This window comes from Homo sapiens, chromosome 8, assembly GCF_000001405.40.
Source record: "Homo sapiens chromosome 8, GRCh38.p14 Primary Assembly".
NCBI classification, from domain to species: Eukaryota; Metazoa; Chordata; class Mammalia; order Primates; family Hominidae; genus Homo; species Homo sapiens.
Window position 1 is genome coordinate 27,481,030 of NC_000008.11, and position 27,747 is coordinate 27,508,776.

The following is a 27,747-nucleotide window of genomic DNA, read 5'->3' on the forward strand; positions in this document are numbered from 1 at the left end:
ATCTAGCTCTTTGGCTCCTAACATCAGTGCACACTCGACTTTCCATCATCACACTTTGAAAAAAAATGTTTACATCTAATTGTCCTAAAATTTTCACCCAGAATTTGTTTTAATCAGGTTTGGTAAGACATGCAGACACAGAAGTGACTGTCATAAAGGAAGGAGTTTATACTCACAGATCCCTAGAAACAGGAGGGGTGGCACATTCCCGCAGGGCCACACAGAGCAGCACCAGGGAGTGTCAGGAGGTGGAGGGCACAATGTGGGAAGCCTGGCCCCGAGCCTTTATGAGGTTTCCCCGGGAAAACCAGGGCAGTGCAAGGAAGCAGCTTGCGATGAGATAGTTGGAATAATCTTGGTGGGCTCTGAGCTATAGGGATGGTCTCTAATTGCCCAGTACCTAGCTCTGAGGTGATTTGTGGCAGGAGGAATACTGGCTCGGTGTGTGAGAGTTAGACAAATGGTGCTGTTGGGGATACTGAGTCAAGATTAGGCAGAGGGCTTGTACTATAACTGTAGTGCACCTGCAAAAGCTGATTGCAGGGGAGATGTAACAAAGTTGGCTGTTAGTTTGGCCGTGCATATAGTGGATGCCAAACATACAAATGTAGAATCTAGCAGAATGCAACCATTCCTCACACAAGCAAAAAGCCTCCCCCTAACCCCACCCTAACTCCACAGGGATAGAACCCCAAGTCTCACCAGTGACCATCCAGCTCCAAGTCCAGCCTCCTGCTCTAATTCCTGACACATGTGCCACCTTGAAATTCTGTTTTCTATGGAATAAATCATAACGTTCACTCAAAATACACACATAGAAAGTAATGGGGTGGGCAGAATATGAAATAAATTAGCAAAGCCAGTAAGAAAATACAGACAGGTACAGTGCTCATTGTAGTAATAGATCATGAGGTTAGAGTGGGTATGTATTGGTTTCCTCTCCAGCCATTCTCCAGAATAAGCATCTACTGTATTCCACAAAAGCCAGATTGCTGCCTTCTCAAGCATATAAGGCATTCACTACAATCAACTTGCCACCAAGTGAATAATTTGAACCTCTGGGCTCTGCCAGCACATCCAGAGACCAGGGTTTGCCACTACTGCTGGGAAGATGAGCATTCGGGCCACATTGGGAACAGCTTCTGTAATCGGAATCACTTAAGTTTACAATGAACCACTGACATTCTATGAGACCCATCTACCTTAGGTAGCATTTGGAGATCATCAAAATTACCACTTCTGCATCCTTACAGCCTTTGCTGGTGGCCCTAATCCTTGGGATTCCTCTGGAGACATTGTATTAATTGCATTTATGGTTTTGTTAGGTAGGGGGCACTACACAGCTTCCTCTTGCTTCCTCCTTCAGCAGACAGATGATGGACATGTGCCATTGATAGGTTTGGATTTGTGTTGCCACCTAAATCGCGTGTTAAATTGTAATCCCCAATGTTGGAGGTGGGGTGTGGTGGAAGGTGACTGGATCGTAAGGGTGGATTTCTCCCTTGCTCTTCTCATGATAGTGAGTGAGTTCTCACAGGATCTGGTGTTTAAGAGAGTGTAGAATCTCCCCCTTCTCTCTTCTTCCTTCTGTTGTAGCAATGTGAAGACGTGCCTGCTTCCCCTTTGCTTTCTGCCATAACCGTAAGTTTCCTGAGGCCTCCCCAGCCATGCTTCCTGTACAGCCTGCAAACCGTGAGCCAATTAAGACTCTTTTCTTTATAAATTACCCAGTCTCAGGTATTTACAGCAATGTGAGGATGGACTAATACAGCCATGCACTGAGAAGTTTCCCTAACTCTAACCTTCGGACTGAAGGTTCAAACCACTTCCTGCACTTTCCTGTAATTGAGATGATGGTTCTTCCTCACCAATGCACCTCTCAAGGTCTTGGAAAAAGAGGTCTCTGATGAGTCCTTCCACATCAGGAGGAAGGCGAGCAGGTCATATATTAAGAAATCCATTCCAATATTCCTGTTCCTCCAAGTCTTCCATTACATTGAACTAATTTCTGGTATCTCATCTTCACTTTGCATGGACTACCAGTTGAGCAAACTGTGAGTACTTTCTCCAGCTGTTCGACTTTGTAGACTAAACCCAAATCTTTAGAAAGCACACCCCTGTCAGCCAAACTCCACTTCAACTTTCTGTCCTTGGTCTAGGACCTCAAGAGTCTATTCCTGTGTATATTCACCAGATTGTGACCACAAACAAGCAGAATCTTGCAGACTTGGGGTGTGTTTTACGTTTCTTCTCAGGTTTTCCCATGCCCCACCTGCCAGGACATGTAGGGATCTGACTCTAGTTGAAGTCTAGAGGCAGGGAGGGGGTGGATCATGAAGAAAACTGGTTTACCTGGGGTGTGTGGTGTATCCTTCAGGCAAGGATGTGACAGGATTTTCAGCTTAGGCAGGAACAGGCTCATCAGGCAGAGAAAGAGAAACATTTTTCATTGGTAAGGAAGGCTCCATGGCATTTATCATGGAAACCTTCCCAATTCATTTTGTTGTTGTTGCTGTTGCTGTTGAGATGGAGTTTCGCTCTTGCTGCCCAGGCTGGAGTGCCATGGTGCGATCTCGGCTCAGCACAACCTCTGCCTCCCGAGTTCAAGCGATTCTCCTGCCTCAGCCTCCCGAGTCACTGGGATTACGGGCATGCGCCACAATATCCGGCTAATTTTGTATTTTTAGTAGAGATGGAGTTTCACCACGTTGGTCAGGCTGGTCTTAAACTCCCGATATCAGATGATCTGCCCGCCTCGACTCCCAAAGTGCTGGGATTACAGGCATGAGCCACCGTGTCTGGCCCCCCAATTCTTGAAGTCTCATTTCTTCCAGTCAGTGCTATGAACTAAGTGATGCAATAATTGGGCACATCACAGGATTGAAATTTGAGCTTGAATTTTAGCCACCTGGGAAGTTATGAACTAGTTGCCTCACCTCTGAATGCACTTTCAATATATCTCTTTAAGCGTTTCTCCTTCAAAGTGTGCACGATGTTATGCTTTCTCAGTAGAGAACAATGTAGAGACATTGCAGGAGGATGAGAAGGGGGGTCATTGCCATTTCTGACACAGGTGGGGCAGTGGGGCATTGCAGCCTCCCCATGGCTGTCACCTTTCTGAGGCCCTCTTGACATGGAAACAAGAGACCCACGTGATCTGCCTGCAATTGACTGTAGCCAGAGGCCACGCGTGGGGAAGACTACAAAAGAACTCATTTAGGAAAAAGAGACTGGCCAAGATCACCAACAGGGTGATTGTAGATAAGAAGAGGAAGAGGTCCAAGGACCAACTTTTTATTTAGAGATTAGGACAATGATGAGCCTGCAAAGGAAATCAGGCAGGAGCAGCCTGGGGGAGAGGATGAAAGCCAAGCGAGAAAGGATCTCAGAAGCCAGGAAAGATGGCCTGCTAAGGAAGAGAGAGGAGCAGCTGGGCCAAAGGCTGCTGATAGGTCAGGTGCCACGAGGACTTCCATTGACCTTTGGATTTAGCCATGTAGAGGTTTTTTTGGGATGTCGGCAAGATGACTTTCAGCAAGGTATAAAGACAAAAGCATGATTTCAATGAGTTCAGGGGAGAATGGGCCAAGAAGGCTTAGTGATAAAAAGTAGGAACAATTCTCTCACAGACTTTCTCTTTAAAAGAGAGAAATACGATGGTAACTGGAGGGAAATGTGGGCTAAATATGTCATTTTTGTTGGTATGAGAATGAGATGATCCCATAGAGGAGTTAACCAACAATGTGGGAGATGTGGCATTGTTCTCTTGCCTACAGGCGCACCGAATCTAATGCCTCAGTAGAAAGTTGGCCTCAGCTAAGAATGGTGGGGCCTGGACATCGTGGCAGCAGAGAATCTGCTTAGGTGCAGGTAGGGGGGTTGACAGGGGGCTGGGATCCAGTGGAAGTTTTCTGTTTGTCCCAGTTTTCTCAAAGAAATAGGAAGAAAAGGTATTGGCTGAGAGTAAGGATAGGGGAGAGAGTATTGGAGATGCAAGCAGAGAAGGGAGCTTACATAGTCTTCTAGGAGATTAGGAGAGAAAACGGATTAGAGAAGAACAGTAGAATTAGTGGGTCTTCAGGGACAATTCAGGAGCTGTGATGAGGACCAAGAAGGACAGCTGCCTGTCCTTGCCCAGCAGCACAGGCAAGGAGGGGAGAGAACACTGAGCATTTGCAAAGACTGCAGTGGGGGCCAGGCGTGCGGTGGGGGCCAGGCGTGCGGTGGGGGCAGGCATGGTGGTTCACACCTGTCATCCCAACACTTTAGGAAGCCGAGGCAGGAGCTTGAAGCCAGGAGTTTGAGACCAGCCTGAGCAACACAGCAAGACCCCATCTCTACAAAAAATTTAAAAATTAGCCAAGCACAATGGCATATGCTTGTAGTCTGAGCTATTCAGGAGGCTAAGGTGGGAGGATCGCTTAAGTTCAGGAGTTCGAGGTTACAGTGATGTAGGATTTTTCTTCTCAATCACTTTGCAAGCTGAGGACTTCTGGCCAGCAACACCCCACCCAGGCCCTGCTTGGCTAAGCTGGTGTGCCCCAGCTTGCCTGCGTTATAGCTTGTACCCATGTTTGGTGGTTCCCAAGCTCTTGTACTGCACCCAGAAAGAATGAAGATATGCTGGACATGGAAGGGTGAGCAGGGTGGAGAAGACTCTTATTGAGCGACGAAACAGCTTTCAGCAGAGAGGGGACACGGGGGTGGTCCCCCTACCCAAAGGTGGGAAAGTCCCTCATGTGGCTGGGTCCGGGCCTTTTATGGACTCAGGATGGGGAGTGCATGCTGATTGGTTTGTGAGTATGCAAAAAAGGTTAAAGTGAAGACACCACTCAAAGGCGGGCATGACAATGCAGAAAACAAATTAGGAAAGGTTAGGTATATGTCAAATAGGTGCAGGGTGGGAACAATCTGAGGAAAGTGTGCCAAACAGGAAGACGAATTCTCCATCCGATCTGGGGATTTAACTTGTAGTTTGGTGTTCAGGCTTTAAACTGTCTTCGGCTTGGAGGTGGGGCTTCACCAGGGACCTGCCCCTATTTGCCCAGGCATTTGGCTGCCTCCTGCTGCTCTCAATAGTGAGCTAGGATCATGCCAGTGCACTCCAGCCTGGGCAACAGAGTGAGACCCCATCTCAAAAAAAAAGAAAAAAAAGAAAGCAGTTTCCTCAGGGGAGAGCCAGGTTTCGGGTACAGCAGGAGGGGAAGAGAATGGAAAAGAGGTTGAGGAAATGGTGAATTATGCTGATAATAAAACCAAGTTCCAGAAAGTTCCAGATGGCACAGTAGAAGGGTTTTTGGAGTTGGTGAAGAGTGAGAAGTGCCTACTCTGGCTGACTTAAGCACAGAATTTGAGGGCAGGATATCAGTGAGGGCCCTTGGGAGCTTGGAGAACTAAGCCTGGAAAACAAGAGCAAGGTCATTGCCAAACTCATAGCACAGAACTGGACTTGTGAAGACACCACTGCTGCAGTTGGGCGCTGAGGGCCTCGGGGCCTGCACCGTCCCTGCCAGCCAGGGACCCTGGCCGCTGCTGCTGCTGCCCTTGAAACTGCCGACCGACACCCTTCTCCTCTGGCCTGTTTCCTTCACCTGCTCCCACTGTAAGGGCTGGGTTGGTGCACCTGAGTTGCTGAATGGAGCTCACAGGCCTTCACTCTCACTTCCAGGCAGGCTGGGGAGTGGGCACAGGGCATTTCCAAATTCTGCAGTCAATGCGGTTCTTCCTTCTATCAACATTCATAAGGCCGGTATGCGTTATAGGGTTTTTATTACAAACTACAGAGCTTCCTCTCGGTCATATAAGCAGAAAGGTTCTTATTATAGGACATTAACACACAGAATCTCAGGGAGGACAAGAGATGCAGCTTTGGAAACTATATAGCCAAGAACAGCACAGTGACCGCAGGCCACCCCTTGGTGCAATTTTAACAAAGCCACCACTCTGCCCCAGCGTGGGCACCAAGTACACTCAGGACCAGACCAGAGAAGCTCCATCACAGCCTCCCCAGAAAAACTAGATGCTGCTGCTTCTGCCTTCGCTGAAAGAAAGTTCCCGCTCACACAGCTGTGGCTTTGGGCTGCCCATCCCCATTCCCAAATCCCTGGCGAGTATGCCCAATTGGCAGAGCCCGTGCACCTGGCCAGCATTAAGGAAGCCTGGGCAACATGTTGTTTGTGGATTCTACTGTGAGAAGGTAGAACTCAAAACAGTAGTAGTTCTCAAACAGTGAGAACTATCAAAATAGAAGATGTTGAAAGGATGTTGTGTATCTCTGAAGCAGAACTTCATCACTGCCAGATGGAATTTTCTCTTCTTCTCTACTCTACTCTTCTCTTCTCTTCTCTTCTCTTCTCTTCTCTTCTCTTTTCTCTTCTCTTCTCTTCTCTTTTCTTTTCTTTCTTTTGACAGAGTCTTGCTCTGTTGCCCAGGCTGCGAGTGCAGTGGCATGATCTTGGCTTACTGCAACCTCTGCCTCCCGGGTTCAAGCAATTCTCCTGCTTCAGCTTCCCAAGTAGCTGGGATTACAGGTGTGTGCCACCACGCCCAGATAAGTTTCGTATTTTTAATAGAGACGGGGTTTCCCCATGTTGGCCAGGCTGGTCTCCAACTCTTAACCTCAGGTGATCCACCCACCTCAGCCTCCCAAAGTGCTGTGATTACAGGTGTGAGCCACCATGCCCGGCTGGAATTTTCTGTATGTAAGAAAAGGTTATAGATGTTAGGAAGCTGGAAAATGACAAATAAGAAAAACGGCAAGTAGCCACCACCACTATTCCCAATCTCATTCTTCTCACTGCTCCAGAAGCCACCAGCCACTACCATTTGAATTCATTATTCCACTAAAATGGAAGATCCTTGACGGCCCCTATATTTGTCTGATTTATTTAACAATTGATCCCAAGTGCCTAGAACAGTGCCTGGCACATAGAAGATGCTTGATACATATTTGCTGATGGAATGAAAGACGCTCGTTCATTTGCCGCATTGAAAAAAAGACAAAACTTCAAGTGGTTTGTAGGTTTAGAAAACTGCCAGAGGTAGCTTTACTTTGAACTCCATGAGTATCTACAGTAGAGAGAAGCAGCAGTGTAAAGTCCTCCCTCCCAACCCCTAGTGGTTAAACAGATTTTATAAAATAGGGTTTGACAATCAAGGACTAGCAGGAAGTTGCAGAAGGCACAGGAATGGCAGAAAACCCAAAATAAACCTTAATGAGGTCAGTGTACATTCATTATGAATTTAGTGATTGAAATCAGGTGTAATTTATAAATTTTCACTACTACATTAGCCATCTTTTATGATTCATGCTATCACCTAAAACATATTTCATAAATATTAAAATTAGAAGACATAGGGGTTAGGATTTACATTTCAAAAAGCCACCCAGTTCCCATAGCCCTGCTGGGTAAGCCCTTATCTCTCTGTACCTTAGTAGCAGAAAACACAGGAGAAGCACGACCATGAAAAAGGGCAAAGTGCAGTGAAATGCAATTGAGACCTTTAATCTTTGCCTAAGCAATTCAGCCAGAAAGCTCTGTAACTCACAAGGCATTATAAAAATATTCCACACCAGAGCTATTTACAAGTTAACTGCTCCTGAATAAATAAAAGTCCATGTGATAGCTTCATGGCTTTCTCTTAACCAAAGAGGAAAGTAAAACTCATATTTCTATGTTTTTAAATTTTTCTTCTCAAAAGGGGGCTTTATGAAATCTAGTTCTGTAGGTATGTCGTTCCTCTACACTTTACTGCTTGTATAAATATACTTACGTATTCATAAGCAATACTGTGCTAGATGCAGAATTCAGATGCAGGCAACAGAAATCACTGTAGTTATTTTAAATAGAAACAGAAGAAAGGGATTTAAGATGAGAGACTGCAAGCCTACACAATCTTTGAACGGAATGGAGGAGTGAGCTCCAGACTGAGCCTTTAGGAAGGACTCCCAGAAAACACCACCATAGAACTAGAAGCTGCTATCTCTGCCTCAATCAGCAGGCCACCGCTAGAAACACGAACATATGGTTTGGCTGGGAGCCAAGGATCTGGAAGCAACTCCGTGGTCTCGGGACTGAGCCACTGAGTCAATGGGGATGCCAGTTTGTAAGATAGGGAACACACTAGGAGGAACAGGCGTGGGAAGTAGAAATGCAGAGAGAGTTCTGTTTTAGCCATGATAAATTTGAGATGCCTGTTAGACACTCAAGAGAAGATGTTCAGTAAGAAGTTGGATATTGACGTTGAGTAAGATGTTGAGTAAGAAGTTGGCAAGTCTGGAGCCCAAAGGAAACTCTAAGTTGGAGATTTAATTTCTTTCTTTTTTTTTTTTGGAGGTAGAGTCTTGCTGTGTCACCCAGGCTGGATGGAGTGCAGTGGCACAATCATGGCTCACTGCAGCCTCCACTTCCTGGGCTAAAGTGATCGTCCCACCTCAGCCTCCTGAATAGCAGAGACTACTGGCATGCACCACCATGCCTAGCTAATATTTTATTTTTATTTTTTATAGAGAGAATGTCTTGCTTTGTTGCCCAGGCTTGTCTCAAACTCCTGGCCTCAAGCAATTCTCCCACCTCAGCCCCAAAGTGCTGGGATTACAGGTGTGTGCCACCATGCCCAATCTGGAGATTTAACAGGTTTCATACTATATAGGTCAGGCTGCAATTTTCTTTCTATTTTTTAAAATTCAATTATACCTTTGAGATCAACTAACTTCATGAGAAACTAGCTTGCTGTACTCCCTTCTCTGCCTATCTTTCAGTCTTCAAATCCAGAGTAATCCAGTTTCTACCATAAAGGGCCCACAAAAAGTGTTCTGAAACATCCGGTGTCATCCAAGTCCAAAATTGGACAGCTTTTTTTTCAGTTCTTCCTGTAACATTTGGCAGTGTTGGCCACTCTCTGCTTCTTTGGCAAGAATCTCAGAAAACACTAATAACTGCTCCAGGCAGGAGCCTGGAAGAGGTTACCAAGCTAGAGAAGGAAGCAACAGCATAGCTTGCTAAGGGCAAACAGCCCAGAGGAAACCCACGGCTCTGGTCAATCCTGTTGTTGATTGCTAGATCCAGAGACTGTTGTAGACCTCCCAGTTACAGTGAGGTATCTGACAACCCCTCACAAGGTTCTTGAAGCTCCGTGGTGGAGGGTATCTTGGATAAATCCACAGAGACACATTCAAGAGTAAATTCTCCACTGTTGGAGACCTCACTCACTCTGTTTGGTCTCCACCAAAGACACGGTTTTTAATTCATGGAGCTGCACTACAACAGCTCAAGAACTCCCAGCCAAAGTTTTAGTTTTTCTAGGAACATAAACGAGCCAATAGTGTGGAAATCGGTGATTAAAAACAAACCTCGCACATTTTAAGACAGAATTATTACAAGTAGCATGTACAAAAGGAAAATAATAGCCTACATTTAGTTCTTCTAAGCTTCATTCCACAAGAGATTGAAATCGAAGTATTCTGGGCTGGCACACGATAGCTGGAACATCATATTTTATTCTAGAAACACATTTGCCTTGGCAAAGAAGAGCGTGCCTAGAGGAGTGGTCAGGATAGTGAGGGATCTGTGATCCTTCGTTCTGAATCTAGAAAAGTCACTGGATATGCCCCTCCCCCGCCCCCCAACACGGTCTTATGTTCTGAATGTAGAAGTCACTGGATGTGCTGACACACACACACACACACACACACACACACACACACACACACACACACACACACAGAGTCTGTGGCCTCTTTCCCAGGCATTCCAAGTCCAGCAAGTTCGCAGGGAGCTGTCAGTCCGTCCAGGAAGGCCCGGGCCTGGGTTTGCCTCTTCAAGCAGCTACTGCAGGGGCGTGGGGAGGGGGCATAAGAGACTTTGGACTTTCCTTTGAGACAGTAGAAAGCGTTACATCCAGAGGCGAGATTCTAGCCTGGGGTCCCCGCCTTCCCGGCCTCCTCTTCCTCTCCCTCTGACTCCCTTTCCTGTGCCCCTCCCCCTGCCTCTTTCCCGGCCAGAGTCCAGCCTTAACCCGGGCAGAGGGCGGAGTCCCGTTAAGGGGGTGTGGGGAGGAGGCGGGGCCAGGGCAGGGGCGGGGCAGAGCCGGGCCAAGCTGGGCGGGTCATGCGCCCTGGCCTTCGCGCATCTCCCAGGTTAGCTGCGTGTCCGGGTGCTAGGCTGCAGACCCGCCGCCATGACGCTGCGCGCGGCCGTCTTCGACCTTGACGGGGTGCTGGCGCTGCCAGCGGTGTTCGGCGTCCTCGGCCGCACGGAGGAGGCCCTGGCGCTGCCCAGGTAAGGGGGCCCAGCGCCGCCGCCGCAGTGGGTCGGGGCCTCAGGAGGCAGACCGCGCTGGGCTTGCAGCCCAGCTTTCAGATTGCTCCTGTGCCGGAGCCCTGCGAATCATGCGAATCATGAAACTGAAGACCTGGCCCTGAAGTCCCAGTGCATATGAGGAGATCCGTTGTCTTTCTAAATGTTCATAATTAAACGTTGCCAAGGTCTCCAAAATTGCTTTCTGTGAACTTTTCCAAAAGGGAGAGGAGTTACTCATGGAGCTTTGTGCTTCTGCTGCCTCCTGTCTAATGGGGTGGCGCTTAAAGATGCGAGCCGAGATTCAGGAGAGAAGAAAGTTCTCTCCCCAGGTGTGGGTTGCATGCTTACTTGTGTAATAGCAAACTGCAGCAACCGCCCAAAGCCACATCACTGGGAAATGGTAGATGGGGTGTGCAGAGTGAGAGCTCAGGGACTTGGGAAAACACCTGTTCTACTACATGAAAAAACCACCCCACCAGAATCTGAAGCTATTTATACAATATGGTTTCAGCTATGGAAAAAAGGTACATGCAGAAAAGTGCCTGAAAGAAATAGGCCAAAGTACATCAAATGAGATTAGGAATAATGTAATGATTTTCTTTCTCTCTCTCTTTTTTTTGTGTTTTTTTTTTTTGTAGTTTCCAACTTCTAAATTTATAAACAATGTATTATTCCCACATTCAGAAAGGAGAGAAGTATACTTATTTATAAAGTGAAAAAGAAGGCCAGGCATGGAAGCCATTGTTCATATCCTCCTTTTACATATGAGGAAACTGAGGCACAGAAAGAAACCAGCTGTCCAAATCACATAGCTGTTAAAGAGCAGAGCCAGAAATCCAACCCCAGTAGTCCATGTCCGGAGCCTTTGCTTTTAATATAGTAAGGAAGATGAGATGGCAAGTAGCTTGAGGGAAAGGCATGTAATCTCTGTGCTTTGGGAAGCTAAGGTGGGAGGATCACTTGAGGCTGAGAGTTCAAGACCAGCCTGGGTGAAAGAGCAAGACCCTGTCTCTCCAAAAATAAAAATAAAATTAGCTAGACATTAGTGCATGCATGTAGCCCCAGCTACTTGGGAGGCTAAGGCAGAAGGATTGCCTGAGCCCAGGAGTTGGAGGCTATAGTTGTGTCCAGAGTTGGTTCCTGTCGGTGGGTTCGTGGTCTTGCTGACTTCAAGAATGGAGCTGTGGACCTTCGCAGTGAGTGTTACACTCGTAAAGATGGCGCAGACCCAAAGAGTGAGTGATAGCAAGGTTTATCGTGAACAGCGAAAGCACAAAGCTTCCACAGCATGGAAGGGGACCCCAGCAGGTTGCCGCTACTGGCTGGGGTGGCCAGCTTTTATTCCCTTATTGTCCTCTCCCATGTTCCATTTCTGTCCTATCAGAGTGCCCTTTTTTCAATCCTCCCCGTGATTGGCTACTTTTAGAATGCTGCTGATTGTGCGTTTTACAGAGCGCTGATTGGTGCATTTTACAATTCTCTTGTAAGACAGGAAAGTTCCCCAAGTCCCCACTCGACCTAGGAAGTCCAGCTGGCCTCACCTCTCAATCCTCCCTCATAACAGGACACCCCACCTGCTACTGGGAACTGGGTGATGACCACTCTAGCTACTTCCTGCTGGATAGGGGCAAAGAAGGGGCCCTGCCGTTGTAGTGTCCTCCAGAGGGGAACTCTCTAGGCCAGTCAAAGGGCCAGTGGGTCAGTCTAGCAGTCCTCGGTAGAAGTTGTGAGTTAAGCTCATTTGGGGTTCCATTTGTAAGACCATCTGTAGCTTGATGGCCTTGATCCTGGAGGAAACAAATTTGAGGAGGAGGTTAAAAATACAGGGACTGAAGGTGAGTAATAGCAAGATGGCTGTCACGGGACCTAGAAAGGGGAGAAGCCAAGTCACCCAACTCCAGAGGTTGGTATAAGAATTTGAAAGGTGTTGTCTGGTTTCAGAAGCCTTTTCCTGTAAATGCCAGGCAGCATCCTGTACTATCCCTGACTGGTTAGTTTAAAAACAACACTCCTCCCCTAAGAAGGTGCAAAGTCCTCCTTTCTCAGCAGTGAGGAGGTCTAGACCTTAGCGGTTTTGGAGAGTCACTGTTGCCAAATAGTCTATTTGGGATTGTAGAGTAAGGATAGATTTATTTATTGCAAACTGTCTGAGAAATCCTTTGAGAGTGTATGGTAGTAGGATAATGAAGTAGTTAAACTGGCTATTCTGGTTCCTGTAGCAGTGGGCATTCCTAGCCCTATAAGTAGGGGTATTAGTTGTATGGTCCTGGGCTGACAGACTTGAGCTTTGAGGGGCACTGATAGGGTCTGATTTCCTGTGGCATTGTTAGTGTTGGGACTTAGGAGAAGGTGCAGGTGCCTGTCCAGCTGGTGGGAGGCAGATATAGGTTGAAGTTCCACATAAGAAGAATATGCCTTGGCTGGGTAGAATAAACTGGTTGTGTATGTTAAAAAGGTGTGTGAGTTTGTTTTCATTTTCCCACACTCCTAGAGTACTTGCCAAGGTAGCTCTGGTGAGCAGCTGGAAAGGGTGTTGGGAGCAGACTGAGTGGCTCCCTGTGCTCTATTTTCCCATTGGAGAAAAAACCGTTTTGTATCTACTAGGAACCATCCAAGAGAGTAATTGAAAGAGGGGATAAGAAGACATACACTAGTGGTGGGGGCGCTGCTGCAGGGGGTCCAGGGGTGAATGGTCATGCAGGGAGTATGTTTGCCATTACAAAACCCAGACTGTTTGTTAAACAGGGAGGAGGTGATGATTTTGGGGGGCCCTGAGAAGCAGACAAGCCATCTGAATGGAGGTGTTTGGGTGACTCAGGAGTTACTATGATCAGTTGGGGCTTGAAGTTATAGGGTGTAATTACACTGATGGGATAGTAGGTGCCCCAGGGGCAGGCCTGATAACAGGTTGTGTTGGATGCATAAAAGGGCTTGGAAAGTTAAGATGGTATTCGGTATTCGTGGTCACAAGGTCTTGTATGGGCTTTTCCTGAGGATTGTGGCCTCCAGGCACAGTGAAGGTGATATTGTATCTCTAGTGCCCTGGAAACTCCCTGAGTTACCATGGCTTTAAAAGCCAGACCATTGTCACTTTGTAAGCTTTGGGGAAGCCCAAATCTAGGAATTACTTCATGAATTAGGACTTTAACCACTTCTTGAGCCTTCTCTGTCTTGCAGGACAAGGCTTCATCCAATTTGCAAAGGTATCAACACAGACCAACAAGTATTGAAATCCCCTTGACTTAGGCATATGGGCGAAGTCTAACTGCCAGTCTTCTCCTAGATAGTGCCCTATTCTTTGTTCCCCCAGAGGGGCCTTATGATGGACCAAGGGATTATTCCTTTGGCACACCTCACAGGCTTTGACTACTTGTTGGATGGTCTGAAGGAGATTTGGCCCTGTAAATAGGGATTTGGCCATTTGATGAGTGTTCTCAATACCCATATGAAAAGTTTGGTGGAGGGTCTTAAGTATTTTCCACTGGCTGGCTTCGGGCATGAGTACCTTTCCCTCTTCTGTTGTTAACCACCTGGAGGGGAGAAAACTATGCCCCCATGAAAGTCCTCATTCTGTTTCGGTTGGGGAATACTGGGGCTTAATCTCTTGGAGAGGGTTGTTCCATACCAAGGGTCCTTCCGTAGGTATTTCTAATGGGAGGTTCCACCTGGCAGCAATTTTGGCCTCAGTGTCTGCCTAATGGTTTTCTTCTGCCTTTTCTCCTTCACCTTTTGATGGCTTTGGCAGTGTAAGACTGCCACCTCTTTGGGTTTTTGCACTGCGTGCAATAACTCCATGATTTCCTTGTGGTATTTAATGGGGGTTCCCCTGGAGGTTAGGAACCCCCTTTCCATATTGCAGCATTGGGCATGTAGGATTAGATAAGCATACTTGTTATCTGTATACACATTTATTTTTTTTTCTTTCCCAGTTCTAAGGCTCAGGTAAGCACCACTAGTTCTGCTAACTGGGTGCAGGTCCCTGGGGAAAGAGGCTTACTTTCAAGTACTGTTACATCACTAACTATGGTATAACCTGCCCTTCATATCCCATTCTCCACAAATGAACTTCCATTGGTATATAGGTTAAGGTCAGGATTAGCTAAGGGGACTTCTAAGAGATCATCTCGGGCAGCATAAGTCTGGGCTACAATTTGTTGGCATTCATGCTCGATTGGTTCCCCATCCTCTGAGAGAAAAGTGGCAGGGTTCAGGGCCACACACAAGCGCCTGGTATCTAAGCAGGCAGTTGTCTGACAGCCATAAATTTCCTTTGGCACCTAGTATGCCATTTACATCATTAGTAGTCCAGACAGTGAGATCCTTTCTTTGTATTATTTTGATAGCCTCCGATACTAAGATGGCCACTGCTGCAACTACCCATAAACAGTAAGGCCAGCCTTTTGCCACTACATCAGTTTCCTTACTTAGGTATGCCACTGGTTGTGGGGTTGTCCCACGAGTCTGAGTAAGGACTCCAAGAGCTATTCCTGCTCTCTCTGTGATGTATAAAGAGAAGTCTTGTCCTTTGGGAAGGCTTAAAGCTGGAGCTTGTACTAGGGCCTGCTTTAAGGTTTTGGAGGCTGTTTCTGCCTCTGGTTCCCATTCTACTAGATTAGTGTTTGCCCTCTGGGTCTCCTTGATTAGAGCATAGAGTGGCCTGGCCATCTCGCTGTATCTGGGGATCCATAGTCGGCAAAAGCTGGTGATCCCAAGGAACCCCCACAACTGTTTTAATGTCTTAGGGCAAGGACAAGCCAGTATAGGCTGTATTCATTCTTTGCTTAGAGCCCTGGTTCCTCTGGCTAAGATTAGGCCTAGATATTTGACTTGTAGGCAGAGCTGGGCCTTCAGTTTAGATGCCATGTACCCTTGATTAGCTAGAAAGTTCAAGAGAGCTAGAGTAGCCTGCTGGCATGAGGCTTTTGAACTGGTAACCATAAGTAAATCATCCACATACTGAAGGACCAGAGTGCCTGTACTTGAGAAGTGGCCTAGATCTTGGGCCAGTGCCTGACCAAACAGATGAAGGCTATCCCTAAACCCTTGAGGCAAGACCATCCACGAAAGTTGGGACGTGTGGTCTGTGGGATCCTCAAAGGCAAAGAGAACCTTGGAGTCAGAGTGCAGGAGAATGCAGAGGAAGGCATCCTTGAGGTCCAGAACAATGAACCATTCTGCTTCCTCTGGTATTTGAGAGAGCAGGGTATAGGGGTTGGGTATAGCTGGATATAGAGGAATTACTGCCTCACTGATGAGTCTAAAATCTTGTACTAGTCTCCACTGAACGTTCGGTTTTTGTACTCCTGGAATTGGGGTGTTGCAGGGACTGCTGCATTTTCTTACTAAGCCTTGAACTTTTAAATGTCTAAAAATATCATGTAATCCTTTATGAGCTTCAGGCCTTAAGGGATATTGCCTTTGATAAGGAAAAGTGGTGGGGTCTTTAACCTGATTTGGACTGGGCAGGCATTTTTTGCCCTTCCGAATTGTCCTTTCAATGCCCAGACTTCAGGGTTGATTCCCTCCTCAAGTAGGGGACAACAAATGGGTAACTTGTTCCCCATATTTATAGAGATAATATCTCTAGCTTTGGCTAATATGTCCCTCCCTAATAAGGGTGTGGAACTTTCAGGCACAACAAGAAAGGTGTGTGAAAAGAGCAAAGTCTCCCAATTACAACTGAGAAGGTGGGAAAAATAGCTGGTTACAGGCTGTCCCAGGATTCCTTGGATGGTAACAGACCTTGAGGACAGCCATCTGGGGTAGGAGATTAACACTGAGAAGTCTGCACCAGTGTCCAGGAGGAAGTCAATTTCCTGGCCCTCAATGGTTAAACTTACCTGGGGCTCAGTCAGGGTGATGACATGAGCTGTCACTTGCCCTGGGCACCCTCAGTCCTGTTGTTGGATCATCCGGTTGGGGGCTTCTGGCCCAGAGAACCTTTGTCCTCTGGGGCAGTGTGCCTTCCAGTGATTGCCTTGGCATAGTGGACATGGGTGAGGGGGCAGCTTGTTTCTTGTTGGACAATCTTTTTTAAAGTGTCCTTGCAAAGCACACTGATAACAAGCCCTACTGGGTGATTGGCCTGCTCTGTTTTCTGTCTTCTCTGAACCACCAAGGTTTGTTTGTGTGAGGGACATGACTAAGGCTGCGGCCTTTCTCTTATCTCACTTTTCCTTTTTGGCCTGTTCCTCTTGGTCCCTATTGTAGAACACCAAGGTTGCCAGGTTTAATTATGCCTCCAAATTTTGTTCAGGGCCCAGGGATAGCTTTTGGAGCTTTTTCCTGATATCTGCGGCTGATTGGGTAATAAACTTATCTTTTAGAATCAATTGACCCTCGAGGGAGTCAGGTGACAGGGGAGTATATTTTCTTAAGGCCTCCTGTAGCCGCTCAAGGAAGGCAGTAGGATTTTCTACCTTTTCCTGAGTTATGGTGGACATCATTGAATAATTCATGGGCTTTTTCCTAATTCTCCTTAGTCCTTCTGGAAGACAGGTCAACGGATGTTTGCGACTCCAGTCCCCATGATCTGAGTCTAGGTCCCAGTGGAGATCCATACTGGGGACGGCTTGTTGACCGGTAGGGATTTGTCCCTTTCTTTGGCTGTCATTCTGTCATTTACTTGACTAAGATACCATTTACTTGACTAAGATACCAAACTCTCAGGCTGCAGCTAAAGCCGCATTCTTTTCATTAAAGGGCAGGGTTTGATCTAACAATAGCATGACATCTCTCTAAGTGAGGTCGAAGGTTTGCCCTAGACCCTGTAGGACATCTATATACCTATCAGTATCATCTGAAAACTTCCCCAGGTCTACCTTGATCTGCTTTAAATCAGAGAGGGAGAAGGGGATATATACCCAGGTTGGGCCAAATTCCCCTCCCCCTACAGCTTGAAGGGGACATAACCGATAGCCCGGGGGTTTTATGGTCCCTTGGAGATTTCTTTGCTTGTTTCCTTCTGAGTGGGGGAGATTAGAGGAGGCTTATCATTAACAGGAAGAGGAGCTGGAGCTAGGCTAGGATATGGAGGTAAGCTCATGTTTCCAATACCAAGAATGTTCTTGTTGTATCAAGTTGCTTTTTTTTTTAATGACCACCTGCCCTTGTTTTATAGATTCAGTGGTATCTTCTTCCTGTATAGTTATATTCTTTCCCTAGTTCCTCTTCTTTTATCATCTCCCATTCTCTAAGAAGAAGAAATAATTTTCCCCTGTTTTCCCACTCACCTAGTGTCTTGTAGTTATTTGTTTATACCTTGCCTCCCTTGTTCTTCTGTGAGCTTCCTATGAATAGCATCATATTTTTCCACTTTTGCATCACAGCACATAGCACAATGCCTCACATACCTAAGATGCTCAATAGGATTGTTAAGTTGAATATTGCATTGCTTCTTAATACTGAGGAGCAGATACTGAAAGGGACCAGGAGTCTTTTGGAGGAGGTGGAAATGTTCTAAAATTGGAATGTGGTGATGCTTACACAACTGTAAATTTACTGCAAATCATTGAATTGTCATACTACATGAATTTAATGCTATGTAATTGTCTTAGTCCATTTTCTGTTGCTTACAACAGGATATCTGAAACTGGGTAATTTATAAAGAAAAGGAATTTATTTCTTGCAGTTATGGAGGCTGATAATTCCAAGGTTGAGGGGTTGCATCTGGTGAGGGCATTTTTGCTGGTAGGGACTCTCTGCAGAGTCTCAAGGTAGCACAGGGCATCATATGGTGAGGGGGCTCAGTGTGCTAGCTCAGGCCTCACTTCCACTTCTTATAAAGCCACTAGTCCCAATCCCATGATAACCCATTAACTCATTAACCCATTAGCCTATGGATGAATTAATCCATCCATGAAGGTGGAGCCCTCATGACCCAATCACTTCTTAAAGGCCCACCTCTCAATTTTAATTTAATGCCACAATGGGGATTAAATTTCAACATGAGCTTCAGAGGAGACAAACGTTCAAACCATAGCAGTAATTATACCTTAACAAAGCTGTTTAAAAAACCAACAACTGTTGGCAAAGGTATGGGAAAACCATTGCTGACATTGAAAAGTTGAGCAAGGCCACAGATATTAGGTATATGTCTCCATATAGTTGGTCCAGAGCTGACCACTGTTACCTGCAAGAGGGTGTCTGATAAAAGGTATACTTGACTATTATCAGAAATAAAGCTCCCAGGATGGGGATATTTGTTCTGTTACTCAGGGCTGGTAATTTTAACTGGCTTGCCACTTCAACTGGAATTCATCTGGGATTGGCAAGCCAGTTAAAATTACTTTCCAGACCTGAGTAATAGAACAAATGCATTCGTACACATAAATACATTTGTTCTGTTACTCAGTGTATTTATTTACTGAGGCTGCTGTAACAGCAAACAGAGACTGGATGGCAACAATGGAAATGTTTTCTCTCACAGCTCTGGAGGCTGGAAGTCCAAGATCAAGATGTCAGCAGGGTTGGTTCCTTCTGAGGCCTCTCTCCTTGGCTTGTTAACAGTGTTCTCCCTGTGTCCTCACATGGTTGACTCTCTGTGTGTGTCTGTGTCCTAATCGCCTTATAAGGGCACCAGTCCTATTGTTGGATTAGAGCCCACCTGTATGATCTTATTTAACTCAATTACCTCTTAAAGACCCACTCTCCAAATACAGTCACATCCTGAGGTATTGGAAGTTAGAACTTCAATGTATGTATTTGGGATGGGGGTATACAACCCAGCCTTAACACAGTGATATGGTTTGAATTTGTGTCCCCACCCAAATCTCCTGTCCAGTTGTAATCCCTAATGTTGGAGGAGGGGGTTGGTGGGAGGTGATTGGATCATGGGGGTGGATTTCCTCCTTGCTGTTCTCGTGATGTTGAGTGAGTTCTCATGAGATCTAGTTGTTTATAAAAGTGTGTAGCACTTACCTCTTCTCTCTCTTCCTCCTGCTCCAACCATGTAACACGTGCCTTGCTTCCCCTTCACCCTCCGCCATGATTGTGAGTTCCCTGAGGCCTCCCCAGCTATGCTTCCTCTACAGCCTGCAGAACCATGAGCCAATTAAATCTCTTTTCTTTATAAATTACCCGATCTGAGGTACGTCTTTATAGCAGTGTGAGAACAGACTAATACAGGAAACTTTTTAAAGGTTAGAAGATGACATTAAGATAAAATAGAAACTAGAGAGGCAGAATCGAAACCACAAAAAACATATTCCATTCTTTTTGAAGAAGGTGAACTCATGAAAAAGTTCTTTGAGACCATGCCTGGTGCACACGAGGACAGTAATGGCCGCGTGCCCACTCTCGGTTCTGACCGTTATATAGTAAAGTAGGAAGCGCCTCTGGGTGAAGCTGCTATTAGGTGGTTTCCCATGGGCAGCTTCTCTGTGGAACATACTGTGATTTACTGTATGGTCTCATGTCCTCAGCTGGATGGCTCCTTGCGCGCAAAGATCCCAATTTGAACTGCGTTTGCATTTTCCAGTTCCTGGCAGTATCCCTTTCTAGTGGCTGCTTCTCAATGAATATGAACAGTGTCTGTTTCCATGTGCTGCCATGACAAAATCCACAGAATGTTCCTGATGTTCTTTGTGTTTTCCAGAGGACTTCTGAATGATGCTTTCCAGAAAGGGGGACCAGAGGGTGCCACTACCCGGCTTATGAAAGGAGAGATCACACTTTCCCAGGTGAGGGGACATCACCACACAGAGCCCTTTGGATGAACGTTCTCTGCCTGTGTGCCCATCTCCCCGAACTTGGGGCCCACCATAATAGAAAACACCCACCTTTTCTGTGAAGACAAATGTTGTTTTAATGGTATTAATGGGAGTATTGCAGTCACCTTAAAACATACTTGCTAATATATTGTGGCAAATGGTGAACGAAAACTGTGATGAAACTATTGGGAAGAACATTATTGAATTATTGACTTTTTATTTAATCCATAAAAAAACCTCAGTAATATTGTTGGAAGGTAAGAAAGAGGGAAATGCTATATATTTTCTTCTTCTTCTTCTTCTTCTTCTTCTTCTTCTTCTTCTTCTTCTTCTTCTTCTTCTTCTTCTTCTTCTTTCTTCTTTCTTCTTTCTTCTTTTTCTGAGACAGGTTCTCACTCTATTGCCTAGGCTGGAGTGCAGTGGCATGATCATGGCTCACTGCAGCCTTTACCTCCTGGGCTCAGATGATCCTCCCACCTCAGCCTCCCAAGTAGCTGGGATTACAGGCACACATCACCATGCCCAGCTGTTTTTTGTATTATTATTATTATTGCTAGAAATGGGGTTTCACCGTGTTACCCAGACTGGTCTAGAACTCCTGGGTTCAAATGATACACCCACCTTGGTGTTCCAAAGTGCTAGGATTACAGGTATGAGCCACCATGCCCAGCCTATATTTTCAATGAACATACAGAATTTAGAGTGAATTTCTAGTAATTGCTATGAAAATCCTGCGTTTCATTCAGACTCCTTTGGTGGCTTCTGATAGTCTGTGTGTAACTTCTAGGAAACTGGCATGGCTAGAGGGAAGAAGCCTGGAAAACTAAATTATATCATGCTAAGGCTATTTACACTTGACTTGTCTTAAAAAAAAAAGTCTTATCTTGGGAGTGAATGTCATCTTTTAACTTTTCATGTGTATATACTATACAGACAGAAAAGTACACATAGCATACAGCTTGATGACTTTTCACACACTAAGTATACTGCTGTCACCAGCACCCAGATCAAGAAATAAAACATTCTCAGCGCTGTAGGCAACACATAACCCCGCTCTGGATACCATCCCTCCAAGAGTATTACCATTCTAACTTCTATCCCAATAGATCACTTTTACCTGTTTTGGACTTTATGTAAATGGAATTGTGCACATCAGCTCTTTTGCGTCTGGCATCTTTTGCTCAACATTGTATGAGTGAGACTCATCGTTGTTGCATGCTGCCATAGATCATTTTATTCTCATTGCTGCATGACATTCCATCACATTCATATACCCCAATCTATCCATTCTTCTATTGATGGGGTTCTGGGTAGTTTTCAGTTTGGGACTATTACAAATAGTGCTGCTATGATGATGTGTATATATAACAATCCATTCTGCTATTAGTGAGTGTATTAGTTTGCTAGGGCTGTGTCTTACATAGCACCTTCAGCTGCTACCTACAGCAAATATGCCATAGACTGTGTGACTGAAACAACAGACATTTATAGCTCACAGTTCTGGAGGCTGGGAAGTCCAAGATGAAGGCACTGGCAGGTTCAGTGTCTGGTGAGGGCTCTCTTCTTGGTTTGCAGATGGCCACCTTCTTGCTGTATCCTCACATGGTAGAAAGCAGAGAGACAGGGGAAAAAAAGCAAGTTCTTGGCTGTCTTCTCCCTGTGTCCTCACATGGTCATCCCTGTGTGTGTCTATGTCCTCATCTCCTCTTCTTATTTGGGCACCAGTCATATTGGATTAAGATTCGTCATAATGACTTCATTTTACCTTAAGTACCTCTTTAAAGGCCTGATTTCCAAATATAGTCACATCATGAGACTCTGGGGGCTAGGACTTCAACACAGGAATTTTGGGGAGGACACAGTTTAGCCCATAACAGTGGACATTTGGGTAGTTCCAGTTTGGGGCTTGCTATGGTCCAAGTGTTTGTGCCCCCCGCCCAAAATCCCTATGTTGAAATCCTAACCCCCAAGGTGATGTTATTAAGAGGTGGGGCCTTCAGGAAGTAATTGGGTCATGAGGGTGGAACCCTCAGGAGTGAGATCAGTGCACTTATAAAAGAGATCCCAGAGAGCTATCGAGCCCCTTCTACCATGTGAAGACAGCAAGAAGGTGCCATCTGTGAAATAGAAGGCAAGCCCTAACCAGACACCAAATCTGCTGGAGCCTTGATCTTGGACTTCCCAGCCTTCAGCACTGTAAGAAATAAATTTCTGCTGTTTATGAGCCACCCAGCCTCTGGTCTTTTGTTATAGCAGCTGAGATGGGCTAAGACAGGGCTCTTAGGAATAGCACTGCTATGACTGTGGGTGAATATAATACAATCTATCCATTCTGCTGTTAGTGGGCATTTGGGTCGTTTCTGGTTTGGGACTCCTAGGAAGAGTATAGCTATGAACATTTTTGGCCATGTCTCTTGGAGAACATATGTTGGCATTTCCAGTGGGTATGTGTCCAGGAGTGGAATTGCTTGGTCACAGGGAATGTATATGTTTAGATTTAGTAGACCCTGCCAGAGCTTTTCTGAGTGGCCATACAAATTGTCCCCTCACTTCACTTTGACAGTGGATACCACTCATGGAAGAAAACTGCAGGAAGTGCTCCGAGACCGCTAAAGTCTGCCTCCCCAAGAATTTCTCCATAAAAGAAATCTTTGACAAGGCGATTTCAGCCAGAAAGATCAACCGCCCCATGCTCCAGGCAGCTCTCATGCTCAGGAAGAAAGGTAAGGATCTGATACTGGCCAATCTCAGGCCGAACCACCCAGAACCCTCGGGAGCATTAGGTCAGAATCCATTGAAGTGAGCTTTGAGATCACAGATCTTCTGAGCCACGATGGAAAGCCTCTTTAAACATGGCCCCAAAGCAAGTTTTATCCAATGGCAAAAGCAGCACTATTAGAAAAGCTGGAAAAATGGCAGGATTTTACTTAATAAAGCAATTGATGCCCATGACTGCCTTGTGAACATCATTCTCCCCTTCAATGGCACTTTAGTAATGACCCAAATGACATGATCTTTTGTCACAGTGATTAAGAAACAAGGCCTTTTTAGCAACTGTGATTTTCTTAGCCTCTGGGTATCAGAGTGTCCAAGCTATGAGTTGGCTGACATGGGCTCAGATTATGTCACATAGTCTAAGACATGAGGTCAAGTTCATCCATAGGCGTTGACTTGGTGTGAACACCTGACTCTTGTCATAGGCATATTGAAACTATTCCACCCTCTTATCAGTAGACTTACCTGGTTGTGGCTGAGCCATCCCATGTCTGCAACTCTTCCCTCCTATTGCGTGGGAAGAGTCTCACCATCAACTCTTCAGTGTCTTCTTTCCAGCATTGCCTAGTTCTCACCCTCGCTGGTTAGGCAGATAAAGCCAGGGGATAATCCTATTTCTATGTACACTTCTCTAGTTTTGAAATAGAAACCTAGTCCCTGATTGCCAAGGCAGGTATTCTGGAATTTAGTCAAGCAGTGTTTTCAGTAGCATGGACTAGAAAGAATGCTGGACCTTCACCATGTGGCTCTGGGCAGCTCGTAACTTGTCTGAGCTTGTTTGCTGATCTGTGAATCTGGGAGGGTAGGATTGGCCCTGTCCACCCCTGAGGTGGTAGAGATCAAAATGAGCTGATGAATGTATAAGTGCTGCTCCACTGTTGTCAAGGAGGAAGGAGGGTAGTTTCTCCATCTAGGCTTCTGAGGGCCTTGAATGAACCCAGCTCATGCTTGTGTCTGTGTCAGAGGTGTTCATGGGTCAAGATGATTCTTTTCCAATTTGTCAGTTGAAAGTTGGGCATAAGAGATTAATAAAAGTGAGCACAACCTGCTTGGCCCATCATTGGAGTCCCTTGGGGGTATCTGGAGCATTTCAGGGCAAAGGTCTGTAGCTGGTCTATCTACTGGTGGCTTTTTGCTCAGGATTCACTACTGCCATCCTCACCAACACCTGGCTGGACGACCGTGCTGAGAGAGATGGCCTGGCCCAGCTGATGTGTGAGCTGAAGATGCACTTTGACTTCCTGATAGAGTCGTGTCAGGTGGGAATGGTCAAACCTGAACCTCAGATCTACAAGTTTCTGCTGGACACCCTGAAGGCCAGCCCCAGTGAGGTACGGAGACACTTCCTTATGGCAGAGAAGGATGTTCAGAGATATTGCAACCAGGGAAAAACTGAGGAGTGAGCAGGTGGGATGCATCTTGGGCCTGGCAGGACAGCTCTGAGTCCACTTCTCCCAGACCACGTCTTCTCCTAGAAGACTGTTACCCATTCTTTGATCTAGAAAGTTCTCCCAGAGGTGGGCATTTGGCTCCATTGTATAGCTCTTACAGAACTTTGGTCAAAACAGGCATCAGCAAAAGCTGTTTTAGCCCAGCTGCCTCAGTTTACTTACAAAGAAATGGAGATCCTGGGAGACTTGCAAGGCCACAAGACTAGTAGTCAGGTTCATCCCCACAAAGGGTGAGTGAGGACAGGCTCCGGTATTGCCATGCTCTCCCACCAGACACCCTGTGCCCTGAGCCTGTCTCCAGAGATCACCTGTCCTAAAGCTCTTTTCTCTTTGTGTGTCTCTACTTTAATCTACAAAAGGTGATTGAATGGAGATTAAATTCCTTTCCCTCACATTTCCAACCCCCCACCTCCCCACAAGCTGACCAGAGCAAACCCTGAACTCTAGCCTTGGAGTCCTCACCATGCTGCATCCTGGGACCTCCCCTTTCACCTCCTGGACTTTGCTTCTTCTCTTCTCAGTGCCTGGAGTCAGCCTCAGAGCAGGGCTCCCAATCTAAGCCTGCACAGGAATATATCAGTCTTCCTATCGATGGCTTCCAGGTTGGATGAGCTGCTTAGAATTCTAGACTTCCCTTGTCCAAGATGGTAAATGCATGCACCCATGCTTTCTATGACTTCCAGGATTTTTCTTCTCTTTTTATTTATTTATTGTTTAACTAATTAATTTATTTTTTCTTAGAGACAGAGCCTCACTCTGTCACCTAGGCTAGAGTGCAGTGAAGCGATCATAGCTCACTGCAGCCTCAAACTCCTGAGCTCAAGTGATCGTCCTGCCTCAGCCTCCCAAGTAGCTATGACCACAGGTTCATACCACCATGCATGGCTAATTTTTTACATTCTGTTGTAACGGGGGTCTCACTATATTGTTCATGCTAATCTTGAACTCCTGGTTTCAACCAATCCTTCCAGTCTCCCAAAGTGCTGGGATTACAGGTGTGAGCCATCAAGCCTAGCACTTTCTTTATTACTACATATAAATTTTTGATTCATTAAGAATCTATTTGGGGGTAAGATATAAAGTAAGGATCCATTTTATTCCCCCAAACAGTTAACCAGTCATACCAAGGCCATTAAACAATCTTCCTTACCAATTGGACATGACACTTTTCTTAGAAACTAAATTCTTATTTGTATTTGGTTCTATTTCATAGACATGTCTGTTTCTTTTCTAGTGCCAAATTTCTACCTTTTGTAGCTTCATCAATTGTTTGACTCTCTGCCCTCACTACAGTTCTTTTCCAGATACATTTTTTGGTCTACTTATGCCTGTTGATTTTCCCAGAAGAATTTTAATGTCACCTTGATAAGTGTGTATCCTCTCCTAACCCTCTTGCAATTTCAGAAGTGGCTGAAGCCAGTAGGTCTGTGTGGGGTCATATGTGCCTTTGTTTTCATGCGTATGTTGTGTAATTAAATGCTTTCCATTTTAGCAGTAGATGGTTATAAAAGAAAAAGAGTTTTTAATCTCCTCATCATAAAATAGCCCCTGTTTGCATTCTGGTGAGTTTCTTTCTGAGATTCTCCCATGCTGTTTTGGGCTCAGGTCGTTTTTTTGGATGACATCGGGGCTAATCTGAAGCCAGCCCGTGACTTGGGAATGGTCACCATCCTGGTCCAGGACACTGACACGGCCCTGAAAGAACTGGAGAAAGTGACCGGAATCCAGGTAACTTGACTTCTGAGCGAGCCAAGCTTCCTGGACTCATCTGTGGTTTCTGGACTCAGGAGAAAACCACGAGCAGAGAAGCTGCTGTCCGTGGAGTCCATGAATGACTCCTGGGCACCGCTGGTTGGGAGTCCATCACCCACTGTGCAGTCAGCACGATGTCCCTAAGGAGCATCTTGCCTCTTTCTCTGCAGTCAGTGAACAGGGAGACAAGAATTTATACTAGTGTTAGTGCCAGGGCCGGGGAACTGGCAGCAAGAGTGGGATGTTCAAGGTCATCCTGACCTCACTTTTGAGAGTAAGTATGGAGAACGTTTACCCTAAGGATCAGGGCCCCTACCTGGCATGTCGAGCATGCCGCTGGCACTCAGGTGCAGCCCTTTAGTTCCACCCAGCTCAGAGGGAAGCCTCTTAAGAAAAGCCTGTCCGTCCCTGAGGTGGTTGGGACAGCCATCATGATGTCCCTGGGGTTGCCTGGGGATTAGCCTGCTCCTCCAGTTCTGAGGCACCTTTCTTTTTTGGGGTTGACCTGAGATCGCTGATCTCACTGAGTCCACAGCCTTCTGCAGAAGTGCAGCACCCTCATCCTGTGAGCACAGGGGAGAAGAGGCAGGAGAAAGCTGGCACTCAGCTGAGGCTGCCACATGTCCAAGGATGCACAGCCATTGCCTCAAAGGGAAGTAGGTTAGTTTGCTCGGGCTGCCATAACAAAGTACTACAGGCTGTGTGGCTTCAACAACAGACATGTATTTTCTCACTGTTCTGGAGGCTGGAAGTCCAAGATCAAGGTGCCAGCAGGGTTGGTTTCTCCAGAAGCCTCTCTCCTTGGCTTGAAGACAGCCACTTTCTCCCTATTTCCTCACTTGGTTTTTCCCTGTGTCTTTCTGCTTCCTAACTTCCTCCTTTTATGAGGATACCCGTCAGATTGCACTAGGTCCCACCCTAATGACGTCCTTTAACCTTAGTTACCTCTGTAAAGGCCTAATCTCCGAATACAGTCACATTCTAAAGTATTGGGGGCTAAGGCTGGGTGCAGTGGCTCACTCCTGTAATCACAGCCCTTTGGGAGGCCAAGGTGGGCGGATCGGTTGATGTCAGGAGTTCGAGACCAACCTGGCCAACATGGCTACAACCCCGTCTCTACTAAAAATATAAAAACTTAGCCAAGCATAGTGGTGGGCACCTGTAATCCCAGCTGCTCGGGAAGCTGAGGCACGAGAATAGCTTGAACCCAGGAGGTGGAGGTTGCAATGATTCAAGATCGTGCTACTGCATTTCAACCTGGACAACAAGAGCGAGACTCTGTCTCCAAAAACAAACAAACAAAAAAGTATTGGCACTAAGACTTTAACGTGAATTTTGAGAGTGATACAGTTTAGCCCATGACAAGACTGATTTTTTTGTCTTTAGTGAATAAATTAAAATGTATACCCAGTGACTCCATAACCTTAAAGCATCTTGCCCAAGCTTTGTTCATTTGTCCTTCTACAAACCTGCAAGTCCCAGGCAACAGAGAAGAAAGCACATCAGACTTGGGCTCAGGGAACCCATGTGCTTGTGCCCCTGGCTAGGTCTGTCCCCTCAGCATACCTGAGCCACAGATACCTGTCCTGTGAAACTGGGAAAGTAAAAACTATATCTCACTTCTCTTTGTCTCAGGGGTAGGAGGAAGAGGAAGATAGAAGGAAAAATGAACATCATCCCCCTTGTATTTTTTTCATTGTGGAAAAATGCATGTAACGTAAAATTTGCCATCTTTGTGTGTGTGTGTGCGCGCACGCA

At 46.0% G+C, this 27,747-nt stretch overlaps 1 protein-coding gene across 15 annotated transcripts in view, besides 2 other annotated features; it reads left to right on the forward strand.

The window, feature by feature from the left end:
• Positions 7,857 to 8,171: a transcriptional cis regulatory region, noted in NCBI's record as "candidate enhancer chr8.973 targeted for multiplex CRISPR interference". NCBI's record gives its function as "positively regulates EPHX2 gene expression with high confidence in K562 cells {active_cell/tissue: K562}" and the evidence as "EXISTENCE:mutant phenotype evidence [ECO:0000015][PMID:30612741]".
• Positions 9,918 to 10,197: a silencer, noted in NCBI's record as "silent region_19049". NCBI's record gives its function as "represses an Ori minimal core promoter by ATAC-STARR-seq in GM12878 lymphoblastoid cells {active_cell/tissue: GM12878}" and the evidence as "EXISTENCE:reporter gene assay evidence [ECO:0000049][PMID:35858748]".
• Positions 10,114 to 27,747, forward strand: part of EPHX2 (epoxide hydrolase 2) — a 57,484-nt gene continuing 39,850 nt past the window's right edge. For 10 of the 15 annotated variants that reach the window (NR_182232.1, NR_182231.1, NR_182233.1 and 7 more), the window contains exons 1-5: positions 10,114 to 10,280; positions 19,897 to 19,981; positions 22,575 to 22,734; positions 23,927 to 24,117; positions 25,843 to 25,965. Coding sequence is in view for 12 of the 15 variants with exons in the window: in NM_001414017.1 (NP_001400946.1) it covers positions 10,180 to 10,280; positions 19,897 to 19,981; positions 22,575 to 22,734; positions 23,927 to 24,117; positions 25,843 to 25,965 (660 nt within the window). In the remaining 3 variants the exon portion in view is untranslated. Of the gene's footprint in view, positions 10,281 to 19,896; positions 19,982 to 22,574; positions 22,735 to 23,926; positions 24,118 to 25,842; positions 27,419 to 27,747 lie in introns of those variants that run through there. The other 5 variants (NM_001256484.2, NM_001256482.2, NM_001414023.1 and 2 more) reach the window with 5 other exon arrangements.